A 14,000-nucleotide genomic window follows, 5' to 3' on the forward strand; every position below is an offset into this window, starting at 1 on the left:
CAGGAGGAAGAGAGGGAGCAGGGAGGTGCTACACACTTTTAAACAACCAGATTTCATGAGAACTCACTCACTATCTTATCTGTCTTATCTGAGTTCCTTTCTCAGGAAACCAACTATCAGGACTCCCAGAGAGTATCAAGGAACTGAAACTCACCAGATCACTGCATCTGCACAATGAGATGCTGGACCCCTCACCCATCATGACTGTCTAACCAACCACCTGCCTCCTGTTGACCAGCTCCTCTTCCTTATCCTTCCCTGATTCCCATTTTCCTGCATATAGTTACATTTCTTCCCTGCTATATAAATCCTGGATTTTAGTCAGTCAGGGAGATGGATTTGAGACTGACCTCTCATCTCCTTGGCTGCAGCATCTGATTAAAGCCTTCTTTCTTGGCAATAATGGCTGTCTCAGTGATTGTCTTTCTGTGCAGTGAGCAATAGGACCTAGATTGAACTGCAGGCATTTCAGTAACACAAGGGCTGTGGCCTGGGGCACAGGGTCCCAAGCCACATGCACTATCATGAGAACAGCACCAAGGGATGGTGTTAAACCATTCATGAGAAACCACCCTCATGAGCCAATCACCTCCCACCAGGCCTCACCTCCAACACTGGGGATTACAATTCAACATGAGATTTGGGCAGGGACACAGATCCAAACCATATCAGTGGATAAGTTACAGATACATTGGCACTGTCACATTACCTAAAATTCACTCAATGCACCTTAACCTACTACATTTCTTTCTGTTTTCTTTTTTTTTTTTTGGTGGGGGGTTGGAGTTTCACTCTTGTTGCCCAGGCTAGAGCGCAATGGTGCGATCTCGGCTCACTGCAACCTCTGCCTCCCAGGTTCAAGTGATTCTCCTGCCTCAGCCTCCCAAGTAGCTGGGATTACAGGCATGCACCACCATGCCCAGCTAATCTTGTATTTGTAGTAGAGGTGGAGTTTCACCATGTTGGTCAGGCTGGTCTCTAACTCCCGACCTCAGGTGATCTGCTCACCTCAGTCTCCCAAAGTGCTGGGATTATAGATGTGAGCCACTGTGCCTGGCCAACCCACTACATTTCTACAGTTGGTTTCTATTTATCTGTCTGGGTTTCTATTTTCCTTTCATTTCTGTCCCAGATCAAGCTTCTTCCTCAAGTTCCCTAGTCAATAAATGAGTAAGATCCATTCCAATGGATTTATTTGGCCCTCACCTTTGAGGTCAGATTGCAGCCCAAATATCCTGAGTCATGAGTCTTTTGGCCTCCACTGAGAAATTTCACTGAATTAGTCTTGCTTTCCTGGGCTCATTGCCTCTGGTGGCTTTCTTTTAGTTGCCACTATTATTTTTCATACTTTTTTCAGGGTTTTCTTTTCTAGTGGATGTATCCTATGGCTTTTAAAAGGGCACCACATAACACTTTGGTTTTTAGAAGACTCTAAAAAAGCTCTTTTCATGCCTTTTTTAAAGCCTTATGCCATCTGAAGTTATTCAAGGGGTACGGCATGGTGACCTAGTTTGTTGTTGCTTTAGGAAAGGGATGGATTATCAGAAATAATACCTTACCATCTGGTTTCTTAGGCAGGTCTCTTAGAAAAAAGAGCCTAATGCTCAGCTTAAGTGTTAAAATTTTATTAAGAGGTACAATCCCAGGGAAGCCAGAATGAAGGGAAAGAGAAAGGAGGTAGAGAAGGTGGCTTTTTGAACCGGCTGCTGTTTCACAAGGCACACAGCTAGGTGCTTGACTCCACAGGATGAATCTAGACAGGTTACACAGGAATATCATGCTTCAGAACCATCCACTGGAGGGAAGAGTGGAGAGGCGATTTATTTGCTAGCTCCCTTGTATCTTTTGTGTCCTGTAAGTCAAGGTTTGTCCCATGGGCAGCTAAGCCCTGCACTTCCAGGTTGCATAGGTCGGCCCTGGGAAAGCCTGACTCACACCCTGTGGTTTGGCTTCAGCAGAGTCCAGCAGGGGAGGGAGCAGACAGAGAAGCCCAGGATGAGCCCTGGATGGAGCAAGTGGCAAAGGAGCCTGAGAGTGGAGAGGCTAATTCAATCTGGCCTCCTGATTTCGATATGTGTTTTCCCAATCTGAGGAGCTTGGAGATGGCCTGGGAGAGGAGAGGAAAAAAAAAGTACTTGCTTTGGTGGTGCCCAGGAGGCATTAGGAAGCAGATCTGGCTTTGTCTTCAGGGCTCTTTAAAACAGTAGTCACCACACTTTTTCTTAAAGGGCCAGGTGGTAAATATTTTAGGCTTTGGGGGTTGTGTGCTAACAGGCAAAATCAAGGATATTATATAGGTACTTACAGAACTATTTAAAAATGCCACCATTTTAAAATGTAAAAACTGTCTGGGCACAGTGGCTCATGCCTGTAATCCCAGCACTTTGGGAAGCCGAAGCAGGAGGATCAGGTGAGGCCAGGAGTCCAAGACCAGTCTGGGCCATATAGCATGATCTTGTCTCTTAATAAAAAAATAAAAATAAAAAATAGCAGGCATGGTGGCATACACCTATATGTCCCAGTTACTTGAGAGGCTGAGGTGGGAGGATTGCTTGAGCCTACAAGTTTGAGGCTGCAGTGAGCTATTATCGCCCCACTGCATTCTAGCCTGCATGACACAGTGAGATCTCTGTGTCTAAAAAAAAAAATTAGTTAAAAAATGTAAAAATTATTCTTAGCAGGCTGACTTTAAAGTCAGGCTGCTGGCCAAATTTGACTTTGAGGTTGTAAAGTGCTGATCCTTCCTTTAGAGAACAGGGATCAAACTAGGGTTCAGCTCAATTTCACTTAAGGTCTATGATATTCCCAGGCACCCATAGAATTATTTTTTTCTAGGACTTTTGTACGACACAGGTCTTCGAGAGCAGAGGTCACTTGGATTGGCCTGATGGGTCAGTGTGTCTTGCACTCTGCCTTGGGGTGTTATTTATTTTGGGTTTGATGGGTGTGTGCCTTGGTTTGTGGAACTGGTTCACTCAGGCTTGTGAACTCTGGTTCTACACATCTCTTCCCAATTCCACATGCAGTGATGTCACATTGGTGTCTTGAACCTGGCCATACAGACAATATTGACACCATGGAAACTGGCAAATGCTGCAAATCAGGGCTTTTTGAGGGACGGTGGGATGGGAATAAGCAATTGTCAACATTTACCAGCATACCACTGGGCATTTGCCTATGGCATTAGCTTTCCCTAGAGAATTTTCTGGTGATGGTTATATGTCACCGGGAGGGAAATATAAAGAGGTGACAGAAGAGCAAAATTAACTTGATGGGGAGAAGGGAAGTGTCCTGAATGAGCTCCAGGCTTGCTAGTCACTTGCCTACTGGACACCTCTGCTTGGATGTCCCAGGAACCCAAACTCAGAAGTCCAAAATGGTCCCAGTATCTCTCTGCTCCCAATAAATAGTGCTGGAATCATCATGAAGTGTTTACTCTCTCTTCTCTCTTTGTCTTTCACCTTTCCTGCCTCCATCAAACAAATGAACCCTCGGGTCTTGCTGACAGTGCCTCTGAGCATTATGAGATCCTTTGTTTCTTCTATTCACTTTCTTCTCTTATTCTCACCCTGGCTACCATTTTCTCCTGTCTGGCCTCCTAGCTCATCTCCTCTTACTGGTGACTCACTCTTTTAGTCCATTTCTTGGCTTGCATAATCTTCTGGATTGCATATTTGTTCTTATCACTCACCGGCTTTACCCTGCAGCTGTACCCCATGGCATCTCGAGTGAAGTCTAAACTTCCCAACATGCTTTGCAGGGCCTGCCTCACAGCCTCATCTCTAACCCCTGGGGCTTCCCACTCTATAATTCTGTACTTTGGTCACACTGAACTTCTGCTGCCTGGAATGGACCTCACTTCTCATGGGCTGTCCTCTCTCCCAGCCTCAGTGTTGTCAGGCTCATTCTTCCCCGCCCTTCACAGAAAGGCTCATTAAGTCTTACTTTCCATGGGATGTTTCCTTCACCTTTCTGCTTCATCCCCTCAGGGAAAGGGCTGTCAGGGAATGCACAGCCTGCTTCCTTCCAGAGCCTCATCTGTTCAGGTTACATGACCCTCTGTGCTGACACCCCTATTCTGCTTACTAGAGGCTATTGTGATGTCTCTCTGTGACCCTGAAATGTATCTGCCAAACTCTTAAAACAACGCTATTGGAAGACATCCAAAGCTCTTCTGGGCTGGGCGCAGTGGCTCTTGCCTGTAATCCCAGCACTTTGGGAGGCCAAGGCAGGTGGATCACCTGAGGTCAAGAGTTTGAGACCAGCCTGGCCAACACAGAGTGAAAACCCATCTCTACTAAAAATACAAAAATGAGCTGGGTGTGGTGGTGCATACCTGTAGTCCCAGCTACTTGGGAAGCTGAGGCAGGAGAATCGCTTGAACCCAGGAGCCGAGATCATGCCACTGTACTCCAGCCGAGGCAACAGAGCGAGACTCCCTCTCAAAACAAAAGCAAAAAACAAAAGCTCTTCTGAACTAACCTGGTGAATCCCAGAAGTTGGACCTTGTAGCAGGCGGATGCAGCTCTTGTAGGAGATCCTGGTGCTGGCATACTGTCCTCAGACTACCATCCATGAAGACAGCGTGCATGGTGGACAGTTCTTCCTGACATTCTAAGGCCCATGGGAAACACTTTCATTCTTCTCTCTGTGCATTTGGTTTTAAAGCTCTGGCCTTTCAAGTACTGCATGTTCTCACTTACAAGTGGGAGCTGAGCTAAACAATGGTTACTCATGGACATACAGAGTGGAATAATAGACACTGGAGACCACAGATGGTGGGAGGATGGGAGGACAGTGAGGGCTGAAAAATTACCTATTGGGTACCATGTTCACTATTCGGGTGATGGGCACCCTAAAAGCCCAGACCTCACCACAGTGCAATAGATGCATGTAAGACGTCTTGCACTTTTCCCTCTAAATATATAAAAGTTAAAAATTAAAAAAAGTTTTAAAGAAGTAGAATGGATAAATTGTGGTATACTATACTTTGGAACCCTAGACAAAGAATAGGAAGGAACTACACACAGCACAGATGAATCTTACAAACCTAATATTTGAAAGAATAATATTGAAAGAAGCCAGATCCAAAGAGTACATATATGATTCCATTTGTATTAAGTCCAAAAACAGCCCACACTCATATTCTGTTTCTTGATATAGGTACTGGTTCCATCCTAGCTGTGTTCACTTTGTGAAAATTCATCAAGTTAGTCCTTACGCTTGGGTACTTCTCTGCATGTGGTTTTCCAATAAAAATTGTACAGACCATCCCCTCCCCACAAATAAATAAAAATAAATAAAACTCCAGACTTTTATGGAGACTGTTGATGATGGGGATGATGATGAGCTTCGGTACATAAGGCAAATGCGTAATACATTTTGGGATATTACTGTTACAGTTACAGTTCTGAAAATGGTGACATTTGAGACTTTGTCTATTTGAAAGGATCAAGTCTGGATTAAAATGGGAATGGCTCCAGTATAGCCAGAGAGCAGTTGTGCCAAAGAAACAGTTCAGCACCTCCCATAGTGGTGACCAGAGAGGTGGGACTGGATTAAGGTAGGATTGCGAGAGGAGGCTGCCTTTCTCCTCCGGGCCACTCACCATCTGCCACCTCACTGCACTCATGCTCCCGTTTAAACAATTTCCAGTTGAGATCCCTTAAAATAAAGCTTAATATGTTCACATCTGGTGGTTTTCCTGCCCTAGTTTATGCTTAGCTTTGGCCTGCATTTTTAAAAAACGATTCTGTGATTGCTTTGTGTTGCTCTGGAAGAGTTTTTGGATCAGGGATTTATGCCTCTCTTTGATTGCATTGTGATTGCATTTGCAAGTGACAGAACAGAGAAGAAATCTGTAATCTGTTTTTGCCCTGTGTCTGTGGGTATCAGCTCCGGCTGCAGATCAACACAAGCATAGCAACTTTTTAATAGGAACGATTGCTAATCCTGGATCCAAACCTACAGAACAGAAGCTCCAGGCCTAAGGTTGGGCATTTAGTTTTAAAATATCACCAGGTGATTCTGACGTGCAGCCGGGATCATTGATACAGGTGATTTACAAAAGGCCTATCAGAAATCATCCATGTAGTATCTTTCTCTTGAAGAATCCCTTCTTGTGTGCTGACAGTTGAAGTTTTCATTCTAAATAGTCATAATTTTGAAATATCATCAAGAATAATGATTCAATAATACAAGTGTTCACAGGAATGATGGAGAAAAGCATTTGAACTGGGACTCGCATTCAGACTAATTTCCTAAAGGTAGGAACTAGTGGATTCTTATAGGAAGTCTGTTAAATTACAGTGTACTGAGGGATGTACATTTCTCTCCTTCCCTCAAAGAATGAAAGAACATCTGTTCTGGAATTAGCCTGAGCTGGTTTTGAGTCCTGGCTCTACCAACTTCTTAGTTGGTACAACCTTAGTTCCCACAACTGTAAAATGGGCCTAAAAATATTTTTCTTGCAGAATTGCAATACTTTTGGAGCAATAAATCATGTCTGGCACATAATAACTGCTGATAAATGATAGTTTTTCCTCTTTTGGGTATAAGAAAGCTCCTAGAATTTCTATGTAGTCTGGAACGCTTTGGGGCATTCTTTTCAGGGACCTCGTCACCACGTATTGAATGAGGGTCCTGCCTCTAGCCAGGTGCAGTGGCTTGTGCCTGTCGTCCCGGCTACTAAGGAGGCTGAAGGGGGAGGATCGCTTGAGCCCAGGAGTTTGAGATCAGTTTGGGCAACATAGTAAGTCCCTGTCTCTACAAAAAATTTAAAATAAATTAGCCAGGTATAGTGGTGTGTACTTACAGTCTTAGCTACTCAGGAGGCTGAGGCAGGAGGATTACTTGAGAGCCCAGGAAGTTTAGGCTGCAGTGAGCCATGATCATGCCTAAGTGAGAGTGAAAGACCCTTTTTCAAAAAGGAAGAAAGAAAGAGAGCGAGAGAGAGAGAAAGGAGGGAAGGAAGGAAAGAAGGAAGGAAGGAAAGAAGGAAGGAAGAAGGAAGGAAGGAAGGGAGGGAGGGATGGATAGGAGGAAGGAAGGAGGTAGCAGGAGGGAGGGAGAGAGAAAGGAAGGAAAAAAAAGAAAAGAAAGAAAAGAAAAAGTTCTCACTTTTACTGGGTTCTGTTTCAAGGCATCAACTGTTTTTTTTCCCGGTTCAATTTTCCCATTTGATATTTTTCCTGAGCATTTAAAGGTGGGAACAAAATAATTTTACCCTTCTGGAAAGTAGCTACTTCTCGTGTCCAGACAGTGGGGTAAAACATCCCAGTTTAACCAAAGCAAGCACTGGGGCCAGGCTGTATCTTCTCCCTCCCCTCCCTATGTAAAGAAACCTTAGATTTCTAGACCAGCCAGGCACTGCCTCCCCTACCCTCTGATCTTCACACAATCCTGTCCTGCCACAGCTGTCCGCCTCATCAGGGAAAACAATCAGTTCTCTGCTCTTCTTGCCTCACCTCCACTCTGGCTGATTTTAATTTTAATTGCTGTTCTGAACCTTGGGGCTTTCTCTAGCATGGATGCCTTTGAACAAAGCTCTTCCTTTGCAAAAACTCTCCCAGAAGAGTTACAAACCTCTGCAACTAAGTGAATTGGATATCTTGATTAGACTTGTTCCTTTTTCTTTGACAGGGCAAAATCCCTCTCTGAGGAAGAAGGGAGGAGCCTGCATTGATTAACATATTGCCATTCCTGAATGAATTTACATTCATGAATTATAATATTGGACCATTCCTCTGAATTTTATTCAAAAAAGCTGCTACCTGGTATTATGCAAATATCCCTGCACCCTACAGTGAAGTGTGTGTTTGTTAAACACAGTAGTTGTGACAATTTTGCAGGACTGATGGAAATTCTAGAAGATGAGAGGAGTTTACCAGATGGGGAAGGGTAGGAGTGGAGTGGGTAGGTGTCTGGGTAAAAAACCTTCCTATGAGAACACTTTGGATGGAACGTTAAAAGTGTGGGTAAAATGAATAAAGAAGAAGGAAAAGGCAGAAATCAGCAGAGCAGATTGATTTGCAGGGCTTGAATGGATGAGTACCTGACCAATGGTTTGGACTGAGACTAAGAACAGAGCTGTAAGTCATATTAAGAAAGTGAAGTGCATTAAACCTGAGACTGTTTGGCCCAACAGTGGTGGGACAAAATGAATGAGGTGGCTTAGGATAAGGAAGTACCCCAAAATCTACTTTGGAATAGCACTTGTCTCTTCTTGTTTACAAAAATGGATCTGACACCATGAAGTGAATTTCTAAAGCAAGGGAAGAGATAGTGAGAGATGGCAAGAGAGAAAGAGGGAGAGAGTGATGGAGGAAGAGATGACTGAGAGACAGAGTTGAAGACAGAAGTACAGAGAGGTCAACAGAGAGAAAGAGACACAGAGATTAATGGATATAATATTTCATAGGAAAACTAAAAATAATGAAGTTTTGAATTTGGGAAAATTTAGAGAAGAGATAGAAAGGGATATTTACTGACCCCCACTGCATATCCGGATAACATATATATATGGTTTATAATATAACAGCCAGGAACTCCATCTTCTCCATAATTAATGCAATAGGAAGAATAGAGCAACCAGGGATGATTACATGAGTGACAGCAAACACAGCAGAAAAACTCTGACTTACAGGTGGGTAGCACATACTAGGTTCTGTCTCAGGTCTGCTGGAACTTCAATTTTCCTTATCTGCCAAAAAGTGTTGCTGGGCAGATGAGAGGAAAGATTTGAGTTGGCTCTTAAGAAGTCCATGGGTCTCAAACAGTGTGCAAAGATACACTGGTATCCCTCAAGCCCTTCTCGAGGAGGTCCCCTCTGTACTGTGAGTCTAAATGGGCACAAGATATTTGCCAGATTTTCAAATCCAGTTCAACACTTAGGCTAATAGGAAAACAATTTGCTATGGGCAAACTCTTGGGAAAAAAAAATCATGTGTTTACTGGGACATGTGAGAACTTTGTCTCTTGAACTGTCAGGACTGTACACAGTTCTTTTCAATCCTGACTCAGAGTTGAAAGCGATAGGGGTGGGAATTGAATAAATAGTGTGAAAACCATTGGTTCTTTTCTTTTTTCTTTCTTTTTTTTTTTTTTTTTTTTTTTGAGACGAAGTCTCGCTTTGTCGCCCAGGCTGGAGTGCAGTGGTGCGATCTCAGCTCACTGCAAGCTCCACCTCCTGGGTTCACGCCGTTCTCCTGCCTCAGCCTCCTGAGTAGCAGGGACTGCAGGCGCCCACCACCATGCCTGGCTAATTTTTTGTATTTTTAGTAGAGACGGGGTTTCACCGTGTTAGCCAGGATGGTCTCGATCTCCTGACCTTGTGATTTGCCCGCTAAAGCCTCCCAAAGTGCTGGGATTACCGGTGTGAGCCACCACACCTGGACTTTTTTTTTTTTTTTTTTTGTTGTGAGATGGAGTCCTGCTCTGTCACCCAGGCTGGAGTGCAGTGGCGCAATCTTGGCTCACTGCAACCTCCGCCTCCGAGGTTCAAGTGATTTTCCTGCCCCAGCCTCCTGAGTAGCTGGGATTACAGGTGTGTGCCACCATGCCCAGCTAATTTTTGTATTTTTAGTAGAGATGGGGTTTCACCATGTTGGTCAGGCTGGTCTCGAACTCCTGACCTCATGATCTGCCCACCTCAGCCTCCCAAAGTGCTGGGATTACAGGAGTGAGCCACCACGCCCGGCTGGGTGCTTTTAAAGGCAATGTGAAGTGCTGCAATGGTTGACAGCTTGCTTTGTGTTGGTTGGCATCTTTTAATATCTTCAAATATTGCACCAAAATGACCACAAAAGTGTAGGAGCACTCAATAAAGGTAGCGCTATGACTTCTCGAGGTTCCTATTGGTTCTCACACATCAAAAATCTCTGGGAGGGCTTCATCCTTCTTTGATTTCATTACCATGTCCCCTGACACATGGGGGTGTTCTGGCCCCTGCCCATGACTGTCTTGTGTTTTTTCACTTTAAAGCTTGCACCTAACTTGCATTGTCTGGTGTTTTCACATTTTCGTTGTGTTAATCTAGAGGGCATGCTTCCCCATCTTTCATCCTATTTATGTTGGTTTGATTGTGTGGTAGGAAGAATAAAGTGTGCCCTCACCTCCCTCCCCACTGGCCGCCAAAGATGTCTACATCCTAATCCTCAGAATCTGTGAGTGTTATAATGCACGGCAAAAGGAGAATTAAAGTTGCAGATGGAATTAAAGTTGCTCATCAGCTGACTTTAACAAGAATTATCCTGGTTTATCTTATGTTAACACAAAGGACCTTAGAAGATGGAGGCAGAAGCGTAGGTCAGAGGTACTCAATGTCAGAAGGACCCAACCGGCCTCGCTGGCTTTGAAGATACAGGAAGGTGCAGTTTGAGGGTGTTCTTGTAGACACGGAGACCGATTCTTCCCTAGAGCCTCCGGAAGGAACACAGTCCTGCTGATGCCTCGATTTTAGCCCAGTGAGACCCATTTCTGACTTCCAATTTCCAGAATTGAAAGATAATAAGTTGTATTGTTTAAGCCACTAAGTTTGGGCCAGCCACGGTGGCTCATGCCTGTACTCCCAGCACTTTGGGAGACCTGGGTGGGCGGATCTCTTGAGGTCAGGAGTTTGAGACCACCCTAGCCAACATGGTGAAACCCTGTCTCTACTAAAAAAAAATACAAAAAATAAGCTGGGCGTAGGGCACGCGCCTATAATCCCAAGCTGAGGCAGGCGGATCGCTTGAACCTGGCAGGCAGGGGTTGCAGTGAGCCAAGACGGTGTCACTGCAGTCCAGCCTGGGCGACAGAGTGAGACTCCGTCTCAAACAAACAAACAAACAAACAAACAAACAAACAAACCACCGGATTTGTGGTGATTTGTGACAGCAGTCATAGGAAACATATAATTTGCATCTCCTATAATGTTAGCTTGGTCAATATCACAGCATCAGGTAGAAGCCATGGGCCAGGAAATGAGCTCCTACTGGCCACAGAGGTCCTGGCTGGCACCTTCCTGCCAGGACTCTCCTTGCAGGGGGGTGAGGGGGAAAAGACCACGATGCTGAGGAGCTCTGCTGGGAAAAGCATGAGCTATGTCCCCAAGGACCTTCCTCATCTTTGCACACCTTCCAGCACATTCTACGCACTTGTCATGGGCTCACTTCCTGTTTGGGTCATTTACTTACCAGAAATGTCTCTCCTTTTCTGAGATTAAGTCTGCTTGACCATGTAGAGAGAAGCTGTTCAGTAAACACATACCAAGGTTTCATTTTGAAAAGCTTCATGTGGGAGCTGAGGTTGGAAACCTAAAAGACCCCCAAGTTTAGCAGTGGTTTAGTGAATAAGTAACTGTGAAATGTCCCAGGAATATGCTTGGCTTTCAAAAACTAGTATTTAAAATATCTAGTCTTCTCTCTAAAAGATGGAAGAGAAATTAGTTTTGAAAATCCTTTTGGCTAAAAGCCTACTGTTCTGACATATTCTTCCTCCTGGGACTCACTTTCCTAGAACTGCCTGTCTCTGGTACCTTGTATCTGGAACTCTCCTGAGGTTTATTTGCATTGTTGAATTCCTGCCTTAGGGTTATTGAAGAGTAATGAATTGAATGTTTGAGTTGTTTGTGGTAAGTTATTAATTCCTCCCCCCTTTTTTTTTTGGAGACAGTCTCTCTCTCTCATCCAGGCTGGAGTGCAGTGGCGTGATCTCGTCTCACTGCAACCTCCACCTACCAGGTTCAAGTGATTCTCCTGCCTCAGCCTGCTGAGTAGCTGGGATTACAGGCACATGCCACCACTCCCGGCTAATTTTTTTTTTTTTTTTTAGTAGAGACGAGGTTTCATCATTTTGGCCAGGCTGGTCTCGAATTCCTGACCTCAAGTGATCTGCCTGCCTCCCAAAGTGCTGGGATTACAGGCGTGAGCCACTGTCCCTGGCCAGTAAGTTATTAATTCCATCAGTGAGAGAGACAGCTCTGTGGTTAACGGCACTCATAGGACCATACAGAAGTGTGAAAAGAGGGATCTCAGCTTATCGAATAGAATTTCAGCCACTGCTGAATTACCTTTGGATGGTCCACAAAGAAGTTGCAGAGATACTCTCCTAGGAGAAACAGCCCCATGAGCCACTTCAGGATGGCTTGGCTTTCAGTGAGTTGCTGATAAATATCAGATTTCTGTAAAAATCGAATTTGAAATAGTTTACATATAAAATAGAAGCCTAAATTATCGATCCTGGAGTGTACAGCGAAAGGAGAGAAAATTACACCAGCAATTACATTACAATGTAATAAATGGTAAATCCAGGTGGCCTCTCCTCTCTCTCTCTTTCAATTTCCCTCTCTCTCTTCTCTCTCTTTTTCCCAGTTTTTCTTCTCTCTGCAGAGACCAAAAGCTGCTTGAAGACATATGATATGTTTTACTTCTCTTTTTCCCCCTCAGGGCCTTGCCTTGTAGGGGCTCAATATGGCTTTATTATTTTACCCTTAGCTGTTTGTCTTTTCAGAAAGTATTTTATGTGTTCTTCTTTAGGTTGGGAGGAGGGTGACTTCTTGGTATTTCAGAAGGACTCCAGAACACAATGCAGTAAGTGTTGCACTGAGAAACATCACGTAGCAGGGAAGATTTAAGGGCCAGGCCTTCAGGATCTCTTGTGATTAGACGCCTAAGCCTATTTGTAAGGCCGTGGGAGTACTTCGCCAGGCACGGAGAAGAATGCTGGAGCTAACAAGAAAGCCCTTTTCTGCTGTGTACTATATGTCATAACGTTAAAAAAAGGGGGGAGGGACATGATGAAAAAGAAAGGCCTGGAACTTAAGAGAGATTCTGTTCCCAAGTGGAAGGCATGTTTTTTCTTATTGCTGTAAGCGGTGGCAGGCGTCCCCAGGCCAGCAACAAACATCCGGGAGCTTTGGTATTAGGCAGGATGTTAGCATGCCAGCCTCATGGAGAAAAGGAACAATGGCTGTTTAATTTGCTTTTTATAGCAAAGCCCATTTGGGACGAATGAAGACAGGAGGATCTTAGAAGAGCTTCCTTTCCCGGAGGGTTGGCCCATCTGCTCCATGGAGAGGAGAGTGTGCTGACTCAGGAAGCCGAGCCAGCCAGGCCCTGAGCGGTGCCTCTGCCAGGACGCTGGCCCACGCGGCCACTGCACAAATGGTGTGCAGAGTGCAGGAGGCACATTAGGGCTCTTAAGGATGGGACAACTGACTTCTGTCCGGGGATTACTGAGACATATGTTCCGTGACCACCATAAGGATGCTTTCTCTAACAAAGCCTCTTTTATGGGGTATTGTTGGAGGAACGAAAAATATACAAATTCCTCTCTGCAAGGGATTAAACATTTAAGGAAATGTGACCAAACTGTTTCTAAGCATCATATATCTTTGTGCTTTTTAAAGCAGAAAACAGGGAACAAAATACAAACCTCTATGAATGCTTTGGGTTATTAATACGAAGATCAAGTTTTAAGCATAACCAATGATCATAACTACTATTTTATTTTGGTGTTCAAAACACTGTATTGTGGGCCTGGCACAGTGGTTCACACCTGTAATCCCAGCACTTTGGGAGGCTGAGGTGGGCAGATCACCTGAGGTCAGGAGTTCGAGACCAGCCTAGCCAACATGGTGAAACCCTGTCTCTACTAAAAATACAAAAATTAGCTGGGTGTGGTGGCGGGTGCCTGTAATCCCAGCTACTCGGGAGGCTGAGGCAGAAGAATTGCTTAAACCTGGGAGGCGGAGGTTGCAGTGAGCTGAGGTAGCGCCACTGCACTCCACACTCCAGCCTGGATGACAGAGAGAGACTCCATCTCAAAAAAAGAGAAACAAAAACAAAACAGAAACAAAACAAACACTGTATTGAAACTTATAGAACTACATCAACCAGCTATAAACTGTGATGCTTTTTGAATTCATGAATTTATTTTTCATCATCTTTCTCTTTCTTGCTGCTTTGACGTCGTTTCAGAGTCAGTCTCAGTATTTTCTTCCTTTTTTCTCTCCCACTCCT

General features: G+C 44.4%; 1 long non-coding RNA gene across 1 annotated transcript, besides 1 other annotated feature; it reads right to left on the reverse strand.

The window, feature by feature from the left end:
- Positions 1 to 1,604: 1,604 nt before the first annotated feature.
- On the reverse strand, positions 1,605 to 4,030 carry LOC107986883 (uncharacterized). Its single transcript, XR_001745702.1, has 2 exons — positions 3,946 to 4,030; positions 1,605 to 2,107 (listed from the first exon to the last, which is right to left on the reverse strand). It is a non-coding gene; the product is annotated as an uncharacterized LOC107986883 (long non-coding RNA).
- Positions 12,475 to 12,976: an enhancer, noted in NCBI's record as "H3K27ac hESC enhancer chr8:29379807-29380308 (GRCh37/hg19 assembly coordinates)". NCBI's record gives its function as "activates a minimal SCP1, AML or CMV promoter by ChIP-STARR-seq in primed H9 embryonic stem cells {active_cell/tissue: H9 hESC(primed)}" and the evidence as "EXISTENCE:reporter gene assay evidence [ECO:0000049][PMID:30033119]".

The sequence above is a fragment of the Homo sapiens genome, chromosome 8, assembly GCF_000001405.40.
Source record: "Homo sapiens chromosome 8, GRCh38.p14 Primary Assembly".
In the NCBI taxonomy this organism is placed as follows: domain Eukaryota; kingdom Metazoa; phylum Chordata; class Mammalia; order Primates; family Hominidae; genus Homo; species Homo sapiens.